This window comes from Homo sapiens, chromosome 10 (assembly GCF_000001405.40).
Source record: "Homo sapiens chromosome 10, GRCh38.p14 Primary Assembly".
Taxonomy (NCBI): domain Eukaryota; kingdom Metazoa; phylum Chordata; class Mammalia; order Primates; family Hominidae; genus Homo; species Homo sapiens.
The window spans coordinates 92,346,063-92,366,602 of record NC_000010.11 but is presented as its reverse complement, the minus strand read 5'-3'; the positions used below and the strand labels follow the sequence as shown (position 1 = coordinate 92,366,602).

The 20,540-nt window shown below is 39.8% G+C and overlaps 1 protein-coding gene across 2 annotated transcripts in view, besides 2 other annotated features; it reads right to left on the bottom strand.

Moving 5' to 3' along the window:
- Nucleotides 1–12,638: 12,638 nt before the first annotated feature.
- MARCHF5 (membrane associated ring-CH-type finger 5) overlaps nucleotides 12,639–20,540 on the bottom strand; it is a 62,798-nt gene continuing 54,896 nt past the window's right edge. For both annotated transcript variants that reach the window (NM_017824.5, XM_047425382.1), the window contains exons 4-6: nucleotides 17,071–17,254; nucleotides 16,766–16,932; nucleotides 12,639–15,512 (exon numbers count right to left, since the gene is read on the bottom strand). In NM_017824.5, coding sequence (NP_060294.1) covers nucleotides 15,396–15,512; nucleotides 16,766–16,932; nucleotides 17,071–17,254 — 468 coding nt within the window. In that variant the 3' untranslated portion in view covers nucleotides 12,639–15,395. The remainder of the gene's footprint in view (nucleotides 15,513–16,765; nucleotides 16,933–17,070; nucleotides 17,255–20,540) is intronic.
- Nucleotides 15,799–16,317: an enhancer, noted in NCBI's record as "NANOG hESC enhancer chr10:94110043-94110561 (GRCh37/hg19 assembly coordinates)". NCBI's record gives its function as "activates a minimal SCP1, AML or CMV promoter by ChIP-STARR-seq in primed H9 embryonic stem cells {active_cell/tissue: H9 hESC(primed)}" and the evidence as "EXISTENCE:reporter gene assay evidence [ECO:0000049][PMID:30033119]".
- Nucleotides 17,880–18,379: an enhancer, noted in NCBI's record as "H3K4me1 hESC enhancer chr10:94107981-94108480 (GRCh37/hg19 assembly coordinates)". NCBI's record gives its function as "activates a minimal SCP1, AML or CMV promoter by ChIP-STARR-seq in naive H9 embryonic stem cells {active_cell/tissue: H9 hESC(naive)}" and the evidence as "EXISTENCE:reporter gene assay evidence [ECO:0000049][PMID:30033119]".

Here is a 20,540-nt window from a genome sequence, read left to right as displayed (position 1 = left end):
ACTGGGCTTGGGGTGCCATCTAATGCAGACATGGCTTAGATCACAACACTGAAATCCTTTTGAATACCTGAAAAGCTTTCCCAAGAAGGATGGATACAATCTAGTCCAGACTGCAAAGACTACAATAAATACCTAACTCTTCAATGCCTAGGCACCAACGAACATCAAAAGACCACCCAGGAAAATATGACCTCACCAAATGAACAAAATAAGGCACTAGAGACCAATCCTGGAGAAATAGAGATATGTGACTTTTCAGACACAGGAGTCAAAATAGTTATTTTGAGGAATCCCAGAGAAATTCAAGATAACACAGAGAAGGAATTCAGTATTCACTGGATACATTCAACATAGAGATTGAAATACTTAAAAAGAATTAAGGAGAAATTCTACAGTTGAAAAACGCATTTGACACACTGAAGAAGGCATCAGAATCCTTTAGTAGCAGAATTATCAAGCAGAATAAAAAGTTAATGAGCTTGAAGGCAGGCTATTTGAAAATACAGAGTCAGAGGAGATGAAAAAAGAATAAAGAAGAATGGACAGAGTGCGGTGGCTCACGCCTGTAATCCCAGCACTTTGGGAGGCCAAGGCAGGTGGATCATCTGAAGTCAGGAGTTTGAGACCAGCCTGGGCACATGGTGAAACCCCATCTCTACTAAAACTACAAAATTAGCTGGGCGTAGTGGCACATGCCTGTAACCCCAGCTACTTGGGGGGCTGAGGCAGGAGAATCGTTTGAACCCAGGAGGCAGAGGTGGCAGTCAGCCGAGATCGCACCACTGGACTCCAGCCTGGATGACAAGAGCGAAACTCCATCTCAAAAAAAAAAGAATAATAATGAAGCCTATCTACAAAATCTAATAGCCTCAAAAGGGCAAATCTTTTTTTTTTCTTTTTTTTTTTGAGACAAAGTCTTTCTCTTGTCCCCAAGGCTAGAGTACAATGGCATGACCTCGGCTCACTGCAACCTCTGTCTCCTGGGTTCAAGCGATTCTCCTGCCTCAGCCTCCCGAGTAGCTGGGATTACAGGAGCCTGCCACCACGCCTAGCTAATTTTTGTATTTTTAGTAGAGACGGGGTTTCACCATGTTGGTCAGGCTGGTCTCAAACTCCTGACCTCAGGTGATCCACCCGCCTCGGCCTCCCAAAGTGCTGGGATTACAGGAGTGAGTCACGGTGCCCGGCCTCAAAAGGGCAAATCTAAGAGTTATTAGCCTTAAAAAGGAGGTAGAGAAAAAGATAGGAGTAGAAAGCTTATTCAAAGGAATAACAGAGAACGTCCCAAACCTTGAGAAAGGTATCAATATCCAAGTACAAGAAGGTTATAGAACACCAAGCAGATTTAACCCAAAGAAGACTACCTCAAGGCATTTAATAATCAAACTCCCAAAGGTCAAGGATAAAGAAAGGACCCTAAAAGCAGCAAGAGAAAAGAAACAAAACACACAATGGAGCTCCAATACGTCTGGCAGCAGACTTTTCAGTGGAAACCTTACAAATCAGGAGATAGTGGCTGAAGAAAAAAACCTTTTATCCTAGAATAGTATATCCGGTGAAAATATCCTTCAAACATGAAGGAGAAATATGGATTTTCCGAGACAAACAAAAGCTGAGGGATTTAATTAACACCAGACCTGTCCTGTGAAAAATGCTAAAGGGAGTCCTTCAATCAGAAAGAGCAACAGGAGTGAAACTCCATCTCAGAAAAAAAAAAAAAAAAAGAAAGAAAGAAAGAATAAGGTAGACCCACCAGGCATGGTGGCTCACTCCTGTAATCCCAGCACTTTGGGAGGCCAAGGTGGATGGATCACGAGGTCAGGAGTTCGAGACCAGCCTGGCCAATATGGTGAAACCCCATCTCTACTAAAAATACAAAAATGATCTGGGAGTGGTGGCACACGCCTGTAGTCCCAGCTCCTTGGGAGGCTGAGGCAGAAGAATCCCTTGAACCCAGGAGGCAGAGGCTGCAGTGAGCCAAGATCACACCACTGCACTCCAAGCATGGCGACAGAGTGAGATTCCATCTCAAAAAAAAAAGAAAGAGGTAGACCCCAATATAATAATAGCTAGAGACTTCAATACCCCACTTTCAGCATTGGATAGATCTTCCAGACAAAAAATGAAGAAATAGAAGACTGAATCTGCACTGTAGATCAAATGGACCTAATAGATATCTGCAGAACATTTTCATCCAGCAGCTGAATACACATTCTATCCCTCAGCACATGGATTATTCTCAAGGACAGACCGTATTTTATATCACAAACAGGTTTCTTTTTTTTTTTTTTTGAGACAGTCTTGCTCTGGCGCCCGGGGTGGAGTACAGTGGCACAATCTTGGCTCACTGCAATCTCTGCCTCCTGAGCTCAAGTGATTCTCTCATCTCAGCCTCCTGAGTAGTTGGACCTACAGGCATGTGCCACCACACCTGGCTAATATTTGTATTTTTTTTTGTAGAGATGGGGTTTTGCGAGGTTGCCCAGGCTGGTCTCAGAACTCCTGGCCTCAAGCAATCTGCCTGCCCCGGCCTCCCAAAGTGTGGAGATTACAGGTGTGAGCCACTGCACCCGGCCCTTTAGGTTCAGGGATACACGTGCAGGCTTGTTATATAAGTAAATTTTGTGTTGTGGGCATTTGGTTTACAGATTTTGTCCCCCAGGCAAAATACCGGGTACTATGGTACCCAATAAGTAGTTTTTGATCCTCACACTCCTCTCACCCTCCACCTTCAGGTAGGCCCCAGTGCTGTTGTTCCCTTCTTTGTGTCCATATGTATTCAGTGTTTCGCTCCCACTTATAAGTGAAAATTCAGTTTTCTATTCCTATGTTAGTTTGCTTAGGATAATATACTCCAGCTCCATCCATGGTGCTGCAAAGAACATGATCTCATTCGCTTTTCAAGGCTGCATAGTATTCCATTGTGTATATGTACTGTATTTTTAAAAATTCAGTCTACAGTTGATGGGTATTTAGGTTGATTCCATGTCTTTGCTGTTGTGAACAGTGTGGCAATGAACATATGTGTGTGTGTGTGTGTGTGTGTGTGCCCTTATGGTAGAACGATTCATATTCCTTTGCATATATACCCAGTAATGGGATCGCTGGGTAGAATGGCAATTCCATTTTAAGTTGTCTGAGAAATTACCAAACTGCTTTCCACAATGGCTGAACTAATTTCCATTCCCACCAGCAATGTATAAGTGTTCCCTTTTCTCTACCACCTTGCCAGCATCTTTTATTTTTTGACTTTTTAACAATGGCCAGTCTGACTGGTATGAAAGGATTTCTTATTGTGGTTTTGATTTGCATTTCTCTAATGATTAGTGATGTTGTGCATTTTTCCATATGCTTGTTGGCCATGCATATGTCTTCTTTTGAAAATTGTCTGTTTGCATCTTTTGCCCACTTTTTTTTTTTTTTTTGAGACAGGATCTCGCTGTCTCCCAGGCTGCAGTGCAGTGGCACGATCTCAGCTCACCACAACCTCAGCCTCCTGAGCTCAAGTGATCCTCCCACCTCAGCCTCCTGAGTAGCTGGGACTACAGGTGTGTGCCACCATGTCCAGCTAATTTTTTTTGGCATTTTTTGTATAGATGGGGTTTCACCATGTTGCCCAAATTTTTTGCCCACTTTTTAATGGAGTTGTTTGGTTTTTGTTTGTAAATTTGTTTAAGTTCCTTATAGATTCTGAATATTAGACCTTTGCTGGATGCACAGTTTGCAAACATTTTCTCCCATTCTGTAGGTTTGTCTGACAAAATACATCTTAAAGCATTAAAAAAAGTTGAAATAGTATCAGTCATCTCCCCTGACCACAATGGGATAAAATTAAAAATCAACAACAAGAAGAACTTTGGAAACTATACAAACATATGGAAATTAAACAATATGCTCCTGAATAACCAGTGGGTCAGTGAAGAAATTATGAAGAAAATTGAAAAATTTCTTGAAACAAATGGAAATATGACATACTAAAACCTATGGGATACAGTGAAAGCAATACTAAGAGGGAAGTTTATAGCTATAAGTGCCTATATCAAAAAATTTTTTTAAAGGGCCAGGTGCAGTGGCTCACGCCTGTAATCCCAGCACTTTGGGAGGCTGAGGTGGGTGGATCATGAGGTCAGGAGTTCGAGACCAGCCTGGCTAACATGGTGAAACCCTGTCTCTACTAAAAATACAAAAATTAGCCAAGGACGGTGGCACGCACCTGTAATCCTAGCTACTCAGGAGGCTGAGGCAGGAGAATTGCTTGAACCCATGAGGCAGAGGTTGCTGTGAACCGAGATCGTGCTGCTGCACCCCAGCCTAGGTGACAGAGCAAGACTGTCTCAAAAAAAAAAAAAAAAAAAAAAGCCCGGATGCAGTGGCTCATGACTATAATCTCAGCACTTTGGGAGGCTGAGGCAGGTGGATCACTTGAGCTCAGGAGTTTGAAGCCAGCCTGGGCAACATGGTGAAGCCCATTCTCTACAAAAAATAGGACAGGCGTGGTGGCTCATGCCTGTAATCCCAGCACTTTGGGAGGCCAAGGCAGGCAGATCACCTGAGATCAGGAGGTGGAGACCAGCCTAGCCAACATGGTGAAACCCTGTCTTTACCAAAAAATACAAAAGTTAGCCAGGCATGGTGGTACACGTCTGTAATCCCAGCTACTTGGGAGGCTGAGGCAGGATAATCACTTGAACCTGGAAGCTGGAGGTTGCAGTGAGCTGAGATCACGCCACTGCCTTCCAGCCTGGGCGACAGAGCAAGACTCTGTCTCAAAAGAACACCAAAAAACAAAAAAGATACAAAAGTTAGTTGGGTGTGGTGGTACAAGACTGTAGTCCCAGCTACTTGGAAGTCTACTTGGGAGGACTGATTGTGTCCAGGAGATCGAGGATGCAGTTAGCCATGTTCATGCCACTGCACTCCATCCTGGGCAACAAAGTGAGACCTCGTCTCAAAAATAAAAACAAAACAAAACAAAACAAAAACTTCAAATAAATGACCTAATGATGCATGTTAAAGGACTGGAAAAGCGAGAGCAAACCAAACACAAAGTTAGAAGGCAAGAAATAAAGATCAAAGCAGTGATAAATGAAATTGAAGAAAACAGTACAAAATATCAACAAAACAAAAAGTTGGCTTTTTGAAAGGAAAAAAAAGGACAAACCTTTTGCCAGACTAACTAGGAAAAAAGAGAGGAGACACAAATAAATAAAACGAGAGATGAAAAAGGAGACATTACAACTGATACTGTAAAAATTCAAAGGATCATTAGTGGCTAGTATGAGCAACTATATGCCAATAAATTGGAAAATCTAGAAGAAATGGATAAATTCCTAGATGCATACAACCTACCAAGATTGAACCATGAAGAAATCCAAAACCTGAATGGACCAATAAGTAACAAGATTGAAGACATAAAAAGACTTCCAGCAAAGAAAAGCCCAGGACCACATGACTTCACTGCTAAATTCTACTAAACATTTAAAGAAGAAATAATACCAATTCTAGTCGAACTATTCTGAAAAACAGAGGAGGAGGGAATACTTATAAACTTATTCTATGAGGCCAGTATTACCCTGATACCAAAACCAGACAAAGACACATCAAAAAAAGAAAACTATAGGCCAATATCACTGATGAATATTGATGCAAAAATCCTCAACAAAATACTAGCAAACTGAATTCAACAACACTTTAAAAAGATCATTCATCATGACCAAGTGGGATTTATCCCAGGGATGCAAGGATGGTTCAACATATGGAAATCAATCAATGTGATACATCATATCAACAGAATGAAGGACAAAAACCATTTGATCATTTCAACTGATGCTGAAAAAGCATGTGATAAAATTCAACATCCCTTCATGATAAAAAAACTCTCAAAAAACTGAGTATAGAAGGAACATACCCCAACACAGTAACAGCCAGGTATGACAGACCCATAGCTAGTATCATACTGAATGGGGAAAAACTAAAAGCCTTTCCTTTAAAATCTGGAACATGACAAGGATGCCCACTGTTTTTTTTTTGTTTGTTTTTTTTGTTCTTTTGGGACGGAGTTTCACTCTTGTTGCCCAGGCTGCAGTTCAATGATGCGATCTTGGCTCACCGCAACCTCCACCTCCTGGGTTCAAGTGATTTCTCCTGCCTCAGCCTCCTGAGTAGCTGGGATTACAGGAATGCACCACCACACCCAGCTAATTTTGTGTTTTTAGTAGAGACAGGGTTTCTCTATTTGGTCAGGCTGGTCTCGAACTGCCGACCTCAGTGATCCTCCCACCTTGGCCTCCCAAAGTGCTGGGATTACAGGTGTGAGCCACCGTGCCTGGCCAGGATGCCTACTTTTACCACTGTTATTCAACATAGTACTGGAAGTCCTACCTAGAGCAATCAAGATATGAAGGGCATCCAAATTGGAAAGGAAGAAGTCAAGTTATCCTTGTTTGCAGATGATATGATCTTATAGTTGGAAAAACCTAAAGACTCCATAAGAAAACTATTAGAACTAGTAAATTCAGTAAAGTTGCAGGATACAAAATCAACATACAAAAATCAGTAGCATTTCTATACGGCAACAGTGAACAATCTGAAAAAGAATTCAAGAAAGTAATCCCATTAACAACAGCTACGAATACAATTAAATACCTAGGAGTTAACTTATCAAAGAAGTGAAAGATCTCTGCAATGAAAACTGTAAAATACTTTGGCTGAGCATGGTGGAGCATGCCTGTAGTCCCAGTTACTTGGGAGGCTGAGGCAGGAGGATCATCTGGACTCAGGAGGTAGAGGTTGCAGTGAGCTGAGATTGCACCACTGTACTCCAGCCTGGGAGACAGAGTGAAACCCTGTTTGAAAAAAGAAAAAAAAAAAAAAAAGAAAACTATAAAACACTGATGCAAGATATTGAAGAGGACACACACAAAAAATGGAAAGATATCCCATGTTCATGGATTAAAAGAATCAATACTGTTAAAATGTCCATACTACCCAAAGTAATCTACAGATTCAATGCAATCCCTATCAAAATACTAATGACTTTCTTCACAGACATAGATAAAACAATCTTAAAATGTTTATGGAACCTCAACAGATCCAGAATAGCCAAAGCTATCCTAAGCAAAAAGAACAAAACTGGAGGAATCACATTAGCTGACTTCAAATTATATTACAAAGCTATAGTAACAAAAATGGCATGATACTGGCATAAAGACAGATACATAGACCAGTGGAACAGAATAGAGAACCCAGAAATAAATCCATACATCTGTGGTGAACTCATTTCTAACAAATGTGCCAAAAACATACACTGGGGGAAGGAAAGTTTCCTTAATAAATGGTGCTGGGAGACTGGATATCTATATGCAGAAGAATGAAACTAGACCCCTATGTCTTGCCATATGCAAAAATCAAGTCAAAATGTATTAAAGACCTAAATCTAATAACTCAAACTATGAAACTGCTACAAGAAAACAATGGGGAAACTTGACTGGGCAAGGTGGCTCATGCTTGTCATCCCAGCACTTTGGGAGGCTGAGGTGGGTGGATCACTTGAGGTCAAGTGTTCAAGACCAGACTGGCCAACAAAGTGAAACCCCATCTTTACTAAAAATACAAAAATTAGCCAGGCATGATGATGCATGCCTGTAGTCTCAACTACTTGTGGGGGGCTGAGGTGGGACAATCACTTCAGCCCAGTAGGCAGAGGTTGCAGTGAGCCACGATTGCACCACTGCACTCCATCCTGGGCAACAGAATGAGACTCTGTCTCCAAAAAATAAAAAAATAAAAAAATAAGAAAAAAAAGAAAGAAAGGAAAGCATTGGGGAAACTCTTTAGCATATTGGAGTGGGCAAAGATCTCTTGAGTAATACCTCAGAAGCACAGGGAACCAAAGTGAGAAGGGACAAATGGGATCACATCAAGTTAAAAAGCTTCTGCACAGCAAAAGATACAATCAATAAAATAAAGAGACAACCTATAACGTGATAAAATATTTGCAAACTACCCATCTGACAAGGGATTAAAAACCAGTATATAGGCGCAGTGGCTCATGCCTCTAATCCCAGCATTTTGGGAGGCCAAGATGGGTGGATCACTTTAGGTCAGGGGTTCGAGACCAGCCTGGCCAACATACAAAACCTCGTCTCTACTAAAAATACAAAAATTAACTGGGCTTGGTGGTACTGTAATCCCAGCTACTCGGGAGGCTGAGGCAGGAGAATCACTTGAACCCGGGAGGCAGAGGTTGCAGTGAGCTGAGATCATGCCACTGCACTCCAGCCTGGGCAGCAGAGTGAAGGCTCTGTCTAAAAAAAGAAAAAAGAAAAAACCCAGAATATATAAGGAACTCAAACAACTCTATAGGAAAAAATATAATAATCTGATTTTTAAATGGGCAAAATGTCTGAAGACATTTCTCAAAAGAAGACATACAAATGGCAAAGAGATATATGAAAAGGTGCTCAGCATCACTGATCATCAGAGAAGTAGAAATCAAAGCTATGAGATATCACCTCACCTCAGTTAAAATGGCTTTTATTTATCCAAAACACAGGCAACAACAAATGCTTGTGGGGATGTGGTAAAAAGGGAAATCTCATACAGTGTTGGTGGGAATCTAAATTAGTACAACTGCTATGGACAACAGTTTGGAATCTCCTCAAAAAACTAAAAATAGAGCTACCATACAATATAGCAATCCCATTCCTAGGTATATACTCAAAAGAAAGAAAATCAGTATATCAAAGAGGTATCTGCACTCCCATGTTTATTGCAGCACCATTCAAAATAGCCAAGATTTGGAAGCAACCTAAGTTTCATCAACAGATGACTGGATAAAGAAAATGTGGTACTTATACACAATGGAGTACTATTCAGCTATAAAAAGGATATCCTGTCATTTGCAACAACACACATGAAACTGGAGGTCATTAAGTTAGTGAATTTATAAGCCAGGCACAGAAAGATAAGCTTTGCATGTTCTTATTTGTGGGAGCTAAAAATTAAAACACAATTGAACTCATGGAGATGCAGAGTAGAAAGATGGTTACCAGAGGCTGGGAAGGGTAGTGGCAGGGGGTGTGGGGAGAAGTGGGGATGGTTAATGGGCACAAAAAATAGAATAAATAAGACCTAGTATTTGGTAGCACAACAGGGTGATTATAGTCAATAACTGTACATTAAAAAATAATGAAAAGAGTATAATTGGATTGGTTTGTAACACAAATAGATGATAAATGCTTGATGTGATGGATACACCATTTACCCTGATATGATTTTGATGCATTGCACAGCCGTATCAAAATATCTCATGCAACCCATAAATATATATATACTTAGGTACCCACAAACATTAAAAATTTAAAAAACAATCTTTACTGAGAAATAATTCATTTACCATAAAGTTCACCTTTTAATTGAAGTGTACAATCCAGAGGTTTTTAGTGTATTCACAGAGTTGCACAATCAATACTACTAATTTCAGACCATTTTCAACGTCCCCAGAAGAAACCTTGTACCCATTAGCAGTCATTCCCCATTTTTCCCTCCCTCCAGCTCCTGGAAACTATTAATTTACTTTGTCTCCTGGATTTGTTTATTCTGGATTTTTCATATACATGGAATCATATCTGTAGTCTTTTGTGTCTGGTTCCTTTCACTTACGATGTTTTCAAGGCTCATTTACGTTGCAGCACGTATCAGTACTTCATTCCTTTTTATGCTTGAATAATATTCCATTGTATAGATAAGCCATATTTTGTTTATCCACTTATCAGTTGATGCACATTTGTATTGTTCCCACTTTTTGGCTATTGTGAATAGTACTGCTATGAGCTTCACATATAATTGTGCATGTATATATATTTCAACTTACAAAAAGCTTACTTTAAAAAATGTACTTCATTACTTATGTCATGTTGCAGAGGTCCTGTTGAGCATCTGTAGTGTGGGCTCTGGAAATCTGAAAGTATACAAATGAGTGTATGGCCAAGTGGTCAGGGTTCTAATGATGGAAATAGTAAAATGTCCACACAGTTGTGGTCTTTCCTTTTGAATAAGATAATGGTGGGTTTGAATTTGTTTGAGGAAAAAATCCTCTTTCATTTTCCTATTTGACTTTAGCAGGCATATTACCCTGAGGGACAGGTATTCAGAGTCCATGCGCTTTTTGAGGTGGCAACATATTTCAAAAGTTGGAACGGAAGCCCTACTATTGTTCAATAAATTCTTGTCTGTGTGTGAAGGAGCTCACCGAAGTGAAGATGACATTGCTGAAAGATTTCTATTATGGTGTGCACTCTTCACTGGAAGACAGCGATTGGCTTAAACATTAAGCCCTTCAACCACAGCATGCCCAAATTCCTGACATTCACACTGGTCTGTGAGCTACCAAGTAGATCCCAATGAATAAATTGATTTCTCTACATGAATGAACCATAAGGGCAGCAAAGTGTGACAGTGCCTCATTTTCTCTTAGGTGACTTTTATTAAAGGTGTCCTAGTGGCTCCCGGAAGACAAGCTAGTGCGCAGGTACTCGTTTGCTGTTTTTGCTGATTCCAGGTGTTAAAGGTGAGAAACTAACATTCTGAAGGGGTCAGGTCAATGCTGTTCCTTCTTAGGTAGTCTTGCTGATTAGTGTTGTACCCTTCATAATTACCTGACTTAAAGTGGTTTTATATCTTTTGTTTTTTTTTTTTTTTTGAGTCAGGGTCTCACTCTGTTCCCGGGCTGGAGTACAGTGGCGCTATCTTCGCTCACTGCAACCTCCGCCTCCCGGATTCAAGCAATTCTCCTGCCTCAGCCTCTCAAGTAACTCGGATTACAGGAACTCACCACCATGCCCGGCTAATTTTTGTATTTTTAGTACAGATGGGGTTTCACCATGTTGGTCAGGCTGGTCTCAAACTCCTGACCTTGTGATCCACCCACCTCAGCCTCCCAAAGTGCTGGGATTACAGGTGTGAGCCACCACGCCTGGCCATCTTTTCGAGACATGAACTCGTTTTGTCGCTGAGGCTCGAGTGGAGTGATGTGATCATGGTTCACTGCAGCTTCTACCTCCTGAGCTCAAGCTATTCTCCTGCCTCTCTCTTAAGTAGTTAGGACCTCAGGTGTATATGCCACCACACTCAGCTTTTTTTTTTTTTTTTTTCGTAGGGACAGGGTCTCATAATGTTGCCCAGGTTGGTCTTGAACTCCTGGGCTCCAGTCATCCTCCTGCCTCGGCCTGCTGAAGTGCTGGGATTACAGGCAGTTTTATGCCTTTTCAAAGTTGCTTTCTTGCCAAAAAAAAAAAAAAAAAAAAAAGTGGCAGAAAGAGGTTAACTATATTTAAATTTTTAGAAACTCAGGAGACCAAAAGAACTAGGATCAAGATAAGTGTTTTGATCTTAAAAAGGAGTGTTTTCCCAAATTCATAAAATGTTCAATCATGCTCCTACCATGTGCGGGTGCTGTTCTAGTGTGGGAAGTGTAAAGAAAACTAAACAAAAAGCATTTTAACCTTATGGATCTTATGTTCTTATGACAGTAATATCATAGTAAGATCTGTTATGCAGTTTAGGACTCTATCTCAAAGCAGGCTTATTCACTATTTAAAACCCCAGGACTGAGCACAATATCTAGCCACATACATAGGTCAACAAATATCTACTTGAGTTGTGTATGTTGTTGGCATACAGTAACCCTGGCCTAGCTATTTTCAGAAAAATGCTTAAATTCACTCGGGATTGACCAGAATGATGGTCTAGCCTCTGTTGCTTGTCCGTAAGGCTTCTGCGGGTATTCAGATGCAAACCCCTCCTTTATTCTCCTTGCTCAGGATCCTTGTTTCAGGAAGGCAATTGTTAAACAAGACACTCCATCACTCTTACCATTTCTAATGGGCACGTTGGGTGGCAAGTAGCACATAAACAGCAACCTTGACTCCAGTGGACCAAAAAAGGCTGTAGGCAAAACCTCTACTATGCACTTAAATTGAGATTTAGTTTCCTTATGTATCAAACTGTCCTAGAATGTTACCTCAATCCTCACAATAACCCAGGAGATGGACTTTATAATCTTCATTTTACTGATGAGGAAATTGAAGATCTGAGAGGTAAAGTAACTTGCCCTACAGCTAATCAAGTGTCAGCTAGCATATGCATCCAGGACTGTTCAATTCTATGCCCTTTCTCCTCTTAGCATCTGTCTCTCAGATGGGGTAATGAAATGACTTAAAACCAATATAATCCCCAAATGGATGCAAGGAAAAGACCTTTAACTCATTCTAGAGGATTCTAATCTTCTACTTCAGAAATTTAAGTTCTTAATATCTCAGAAGCAGTTTGTGTTCCCAACTCACTCGAATACACTTTAAGACATCATGGCATGAGACCACCCACAGATCTTGTCTAGTTGCTTAATTATACTCAGTGCAAGAGGCTTTGAGGGTGGGTGAGTGGGGATGTAGTTTAGTCATTAGAACATACTTAGAATATAGGCTAGCCTGTTTACAAAATTAGGACAAATTCTTCCATACAGTTTTTTTTTTAAATTCAGATTACTTTTACTTACAAAAACTAGTATCTCGATAACTGTGATTAAAAAAAATTATGTATGTACAGAATGTTTTGAGATTTAACAAAGTACACCTAGAGAACATAAAAATTCTTTATTTAACCTAATCCAGCCAGTATTGAGATAGTTTGCTATATTAAAAACAAGACGTTTAAAAAAATTACAGCAAAGTTAGCAAGGCAGTGACTAATTAAGTCACTAAGTTTAATTTTATATTCTTCACAGTCATTTCATAATCATGTAATGGTAAACAATATTTTCAGCCACTTTGGAGATAAGTTAACTTTTGAAAAGAATTCTAGTAGTCGTCATTGAATTTTATAAAAGAGGTTTAAAACATTAAAGTTTCCAGAAATAACACAGTAAAGAAATATGAAAATAAACTGGAAAATAAAATATACCCACCCATCCGAAAAATCTACATCATCTCTTTCATTTGTCCCCAATGCCTTTCTTTTACCTCTCCATTTACTTTTCCTAGAGTGCAAACAGATTACTTAGCAATTAAGAAACAACTACTGCTTTGTAGGGGCGATTTTGAGCCTAAGTGCTGCTGTTCCTTTAATCTCTCAGTTAATCCTAGAAATAGTCTTCTGAGATAAACATTATTTGCATTTCAAAGATTAAGAAAACTGCAGTTGAGAGAAAGTCAAATCCTTTAGCCAAAATCATACATACAGTTATTGAAAGCTGAACTATGATTTGAACCCAGGTCTATCCAACTTTAAGTCTGCCTATGCTCTTTTGTTGCTTCATGGTCAGGCAGGTCACCTTCCTGGGAAGACTGGCATGTGGTATTTCTCGAGCTAATAATAATAAGGCTCTTTAGGTTTAAAAGTGTTCAATTCGGGGCTAGAGGCCACTCTGGTCCTCAGGCACTTGCAGTTCCCTCCCCGCAACCCTAAAAAAACCCTCCCTCCTGCCCCAAAAGGATTAGAGTTGTTCCCCGGCCTTCATGAGCCCTAATACCTATAAAACCAAGCAGCTACTCCCTGTCAAGGGCATTAATGTAGTAAATGGGGAACTGTGTGTTTGCATAACTTTAGTAAAGGCTGCCTAAAAACTGTTCTATACAACAAAATTTTGCAAGATATGTGTCCATTTAATGTATCTTTCACATTGAAAACAAAAGCCAATATATTTTATAATTACAGCCTATAATCTAAGTTTTTAAAATATATAACCATAGATGTTATATTTCCCCTTCAGAACTGTAGTAGTGTTCTTAATAAGGCTCACTGTTAGTCAAATCTTCATCTCCAAATAATACAAATTTGAATGTTCAACAGTCATTCAAATAAACATCATATAACTCAAAATTAAGACATTCATACTATAGAAACCAGTCTTTAATTACTAAAGTTAACATATATTATTGCAAACTAACATAGCTCAATCTATATTTGCTACACTCCTAAAGTGGCCGCTTATCAGTAAGGGGAAACATTTATTATTGACATGCATTACTGTGAACAAGAAAATAAATAGGGTTTTGAAAATATCTCTTAAAAATTTAATTTTAATTAACAAAAATAACCATTCAGGTTGCTGAACATTAAAATGGCCAATCTATTGAAAATGGCTTCAATAATTGCTTTTAAAAATGAATACAAAACTAAACAGTGATTAAGGTGCTAGCCTCATCAATAGGACAATTAAAATCTAAAAACATTAGTGTTGATTTTCTATAATAAACTTAAGCCAAAAACAATGACCTCAATATTTACTTAAGACTTCTTGTTTTCATACTTTTCTCCTCATTAATATAAAAACAAAGAGCTCAAGGCCTCACCTTGGTTTATTCACTGCTGGTTTTCTATGTGCTGAAACTAGACTGTCAACTCTGTAAGAGCTTGGACCAAGTCTGTCTTGTTCACCACTATGTCCTACAGCACTCTGCACAGTGCCTGGGAAATAGGAGGTGATCAACGAATATCTCAATAACTGAATCAATGCAAGAGGAGAGTAAAATAACTTTATTTTTATTTTTGCAAATCATCCTCTGCTCAAACTACTATAAACTGGCAGCTGTAATTTCTAGAAATATGGGTTGAAAAAACTCCCAGAGATGGAAGGACCTGATGAAACACTGAAACACACAAATACACACACACACACACACACACACACACACACACACACGACTGCATGAGTCAAAATTACTTCATGAAGTATGAGATGTCAACATTATGTAAATAAAATTTAATATTGAAAAAGTGATCTGGAAGCCCTGTGAATTTTTACCCTACACATTTTGGAGGACATCACATGGGTTAAAGAAAACACCACAAAATCTCATTTGTTCAGATAATCATTTGAATGTTTACATACATTTTTGGTTATTTATTTATAACTAATTTAATTTACATTTCCTCATATTAACATATCCTCTTATTTAGTATGTAATCAAATTATGTCAGTGAGAAAAATCCTCATAGTACCTTGAGTTGCTGATTCTGAGAAAACACTAAACATGAACATGTACAAAAGAGGCATTTGAATAAAACAGCATGTGCATTTTTTTAATATTTGCACAGTTTGATCTTTGCATTTCTGTCTGGAGAAAATATGAACAAAACCCAGGTTTACCATGCTAAGATAATGGTTCATATGACTGCCATAAAAGTAGTACATACAAACAATGAAAACAAATCACATCCTTAGGTTCCATGATTACCGAGATGATTTCCCCTGCCCTAAGTGCTTTATTATATTTCTTAAAAAATATAGGAGCAGCAGCTTATCACAAGTCTCCACAAGTGCATTAATGATGGAATCAAAACAACACAACAGATTCATAAGGATGAGAGAACTGCAGAACAACCAGAAGTCAGTTTTATGCTTCTTCTTGTTCTGGATAATTCAGAATTTTGCGGTGTGCCTGTCGTAAATATTGCTGCTGTTTGAAGTAAACTTTAAATGCTCCTTTTATGGCAACAAACGCAATTCCACCCTAAAATAAAAAGGAAAATTAGCTTTTTATAATGCAGATTTAGAGAAACAGAGTAATAAAAATAATTTTATTTAGATCACAAAAGACGTAGGCTTTGATGCTAAACTAATTCAGATGACTGCAAATGAAACAGTTTTCTTTTTCTACTAGGAGATGAGATAGGGAGAGAGACAGACTATACGCTGTTACTACAGGTAACAGGGGACACAGATGCCTTCTCCATTATCCTTTCTGACTAGTCTTTCTTCCATGTAGTTCTACATATACTCTGATATACAAAGAAGAATGCTAGGGCACTATGTGCAGACTGCCACTGTTGGGAGCAAGAAAGGCCAAAGGGATCGTGACCAACTCAGCATTCCACTGGAGGCTATATGACCAAACAGCAAACTGTTTATCATGAATGCAGGATGTGAGTAAACTCACACTGAGCCTGCCACCAAAGGGTTTGCTGGGGGCCATCACTCCCTGGTGCAGGGCTCCTTGAACTTATCTACTGGGAAATCTAGCGCCTACTGTTCAAATGATGCAGTCTCGCAAGCCTGCTGTGAACCAAACTGCCAAATGGACTGACAATTACCCGACAATCACCCCTGCTTCTCACTATCTCTTTTGCCTAATAAATACAGAGGGCTGTGTAAAGCTCAGGGCCCTTGTCCACTAGAGGCAAGGTGCCCCCTGACCCCTTCTTCCAAATATACTCTCTTGTCTTTGTCTTTTATTCCCACGTTTGCCCCCTTTGTTCAGTCCTCCAAGGTCCGTGCAGGTTACATGCCACCAGAGGGGAGAAGTGGGAGTAACAATAATAGCAAACAACATGAGTGCTTACTATGTGCTAGTACTTATACAATCCTCACAATAATCCTGATTATTACCATCACCATACTACAGGAACAAAAAGTCCAGACATTTGATTTAGATTTCACAGCAAGACAATTTCTGTGATGGGATTTGAACCAGGTGGTCTGATCGTAAAGTACTGTAATCCCACTGGCAAGAGGGACAGGTGTGATGATTCATGCATATGCCAGGAGAGAAAGCACCTACAACATAGTTCCAAAAGGCCAGAACTGCTGCAGTGGTTTCTCCTCTTTTTATTTCCACTCAAGCTATTGAATGATAGTGAGGCTCAAATAGAGGCTTAATGCATAGGAGCCACAGACCGAATATTTATACAGTTCCCCACCTTTTAAAAACAAATACACTTCATTCTCTTTTGCAAGGTAATATAAGTAATGTTAAAGCCGTCTTACCAAGATTGTCCTTTGTAAATTAGAGTTAACACTACTGAACATCAATTTACCAACTATTGTAGCAATAGTAGGAAAGACAAGGGCTCCACACAAGATTCGAGTAGCAGAGACATGATCTGCTAAAGGATTGGCCTCAGCTGGAATTCGAGGAACAGGACAACCTATCCCTAGAGGAAAAAAATGCAGTGCGTTAGTGCTAATAAATCAGAAGAGTTAGACTACCTTCAAACATGGCTAAAAAAGCATGTTATTGTTCTTCAAGATCAATTTGGTATGCACTTTACAACCACAGTTCAGTGCCTTACCTGGAAATATACTATTTAAAATTTGTAGTTTATTCGAGTATTTGCGCCACAGTCTAAGCACATAGTCCTCCCAGCGAATCATCTTGCCTAATATCAGCATGACAGGAATAGTAGGAAGTCCAATTAAAAGGAATAAAGGATCAGCTCTCTCCATAACATCCAGACCTTCTTTATGACCTACAACCTGTGAAACAGATAGCATATATTAGAATTACTTCTTTTTCAAATGAGGTGTTGCATGTTAAGCTCTATTTTTTTAATAGAAAATGCTTAATTTCAAAAGAATACACAGAAATAAAAAGTTTAAAAAATAAGCTGGAAAGCTATCAGTCCTGATTTATTTATAAGAAATGTCTCATTCAAGGGAAAAACAAAGTTCCCAAGCCATTTCATACCACACAGGAATAAAAATTAAAATGGCTGACCCAGACTGATTACATTACAATAGAGGGGCGGGGACCTCTGATTGTTGCTTCTATTCCTTTATTTGATTTGGTTAGACTGGGCTACGGAACTGGGATATAATTCTAAGTCCTATTTGTCTTCCAGCAAAACAACTGTTTTCCTGATCTTCCTTCTAGGAGATTAAGCATAGCCAGCCAAGAGGTAGGACCGGCCTTCAAGAGATGGCCTGAAAGCTCATTTCTCTTTGGCTCTTTCTCCTTACTTAGTGGTGTGTAAGATAGGGTGTGATGTCTCTGGCTGGCTAAGTGTCTACCCTACAGACCTAACCCTCCTTAAGTGCACTTCCAAGGTCTAGAATTGAGGGACTGTAGTAGGAGGTCCAGTTTTGGTTACAGATCCCAGGCATTTTTCCCAATTCAGGAACTCTAGGGTACCCTATCTATGGGGGTAATGAAGCTAATACAATCTTTTCCTTACCCTATCCTAGTCTTGGGGCTATTTCTAAATTGGTGTAGATCCCAGAAGGCGAGAAATACAAAATTGGCATTTGTGAACTTCTACCTTTTCCCTCTCTCCAAAATCCTTTTCACTTCCACATCAATCTTGGCCTTAAATTTACCTCTTTTTGTTGTTGTTTTTGAGATGGAGTCTCGCTGTGTTGCCCAGGCTGGAGTGCAGTGGTGTGATCTTGGCTCACTGCAACCTCCGGCTCCTGGATTCAAGCGATTCTTCTGCCTTAGCCTCCCGAGTAGCTGGGATTACAGGGGCATGCCACCATGCCCAGCTAATTTGTGTATTTTTAGTAGAGACGAGGTTTCATCATGTTGGCCAGGTTGGTCTCGAACTCCTGACCTCAGGTGATCAGCCTGCCTCGGCCTCTCAAAGTGCTGGGATTACAGGCGCGAGCCACCGTGCCTGGCCAAAAATTTTTTTTTTTTTTTTGAGACGGAATTTTTTGCTCTTGTTGCCCAGGCTGGAGTGCAATGGCACGATCTTGGCTCACTGCAACCTCTGCCTCCCAGGTTCAAGCAATTCTCCTGCCTCAGCCTTTCGAGTAGCTGGGATTACAGGTGTGCACCTCCACGCCCAGCTAATTTTTGTATTTTTAGTAGAGACGGGGTTTCTCCACATTGGTCAGGCTGATCTCGAACTCCTGACCTCAGGTGATCCACCCGCCTCGGCCTCCGACAGTGCTGGGATTACAGGCGTGAGCCACTGCGCCCGGCCCCAGAAATGTTTTATGAAAGTGTGTGGAGAGGACCAAATTTGAGCTATGGATATAGTCCAGATTTCCACTTGGTTAATTTATCTAATTAAGATGTAATATTAAAGGGCAGGAGGCTAGCCTCTTCCTAATGGTCAATAATGTCATCGAATTTGATATTCTTCTGTGTCTCCAGGTAGAACTTAACAACTTCCTATCTTGCATGTGGAAGGTGATCCTTTTGAGTTGCCCTAAAGTGAAATGGTCTGGTTTATGATATTTCATAAACCCCAATTCCATAATGGTAGCAAAAGTTAGCTGGCCATGACTGTTTTACCTATAATGATTTCCCAGGAAATTTCTTTATCTATCTATCTATCTATCTATCTATATATCTATCATCTATCTATCTATCTATCTATCTATCTATCTATCTATCTATCTATCTATCTATCTATCTGAGACGGAGTTTCAGTCTTGGCATGATCTTGGCTCACTGCAACCTCCACCTCCTGAGTTCAAGCTATTCTTCTGCCTCAACCTCCTGAGTAGATGGGATTACAGGCACATGGCACAACACCTGGCTACTTTTTTGTATTTTTAGTAGAAATGGGGTTTCACCACGTTAGCCAGGTTGGTCTCGAATTCCTGACCTCAGGTGATCCGCCTGCCTTGGCCCCCCAAAGTGCTGGGATTATAGGCGTGACCCACCACGCCCGGCCAGGAAATTCCTTTAAAGAAAAAAAAAGACAGGGTCTTGCTACGTTTCCCAGGTTGGCTTTGTACTCCTGGGCTCAAGCAATCTTCCCACCTCACCCTCCTGAGTAGCTGGAACTACAGATGAGTGCCACCACGTCTGGCTAAGAAATTCTATTTTTATATCATTAAAAATTTCAATATAATGATCACTCTAACATTATAACTAAATATGATTAAATATTCTCAAAGTGTTAGCAAATAAATTCAGAATATTTGAAAAAATCCTTTGTCGGGTTATGTGTCCTTTTTTTGGGTTTAGAAATATAAAGAAGAGTGAATATTCAGGTATAGACTAGAGCGAACAAGAGGAAGTTTGTTTCTCATGGGTAGCAGTAAAAACCTTATAAGGTGTTTAAGAATAAGGAAACAAAAAGGAAGTAGGGGTTGGGCACTGTGACTCACAATTGTAATCCTAGCACTTTGGGAGGCTGAGGCAGGCGGATCACCTGAGGTCAGGAGTTTGAGACCAGCCTGACCAACATGGTGGAACCCCGTTTCTATTAAAAATACAAGCCAGGCGTGGTGGTGGTCATCTGTAATCCCAACTACTCGGGAGGCTGAAGCAGGAGAATCGCTTGAACCCAAGAGGTGGAGGTTGCAGTGAGCCGAGATTGCACCAGCCTGAGCAACAAGAGTGAAACTCCATCTCAAAAAAAAAAAAAAAAAAAAAAAGAAGGAAATAGGGCAAAGAATGAGCAAAGGCCCAGTATTTCACTTGTTACAACTAAAGTGAAGAGAGATGCCCCATGCTCAAGCAAGTTAGAAGTGGGATGAGGCTCATCATTCACACATGCATTCATTCATTCACTGAATAATGATTTTGTGCTGGGGCTAAAATGGCAGGTTAAACAGATGTCTTTTGAAAGTGAGAGAAAATCAAACCAAACAAGTGTGCAAATATATACACTGTGAAGAAATAAGGTAGTATAACACCTGCAGTACACCACTTGCTAAAACAGTCATACTCAGGGGCAATAAATGAAAGGTGATTAAGCAATAGGCCTGATTTAATTTTGGCCAATACAAAGTCAGTGAACCTGTGTGTAATCACATACATTCTGCTTTCTTGTCCCAAGATTTAAAAACATTATTTTTAAGACTT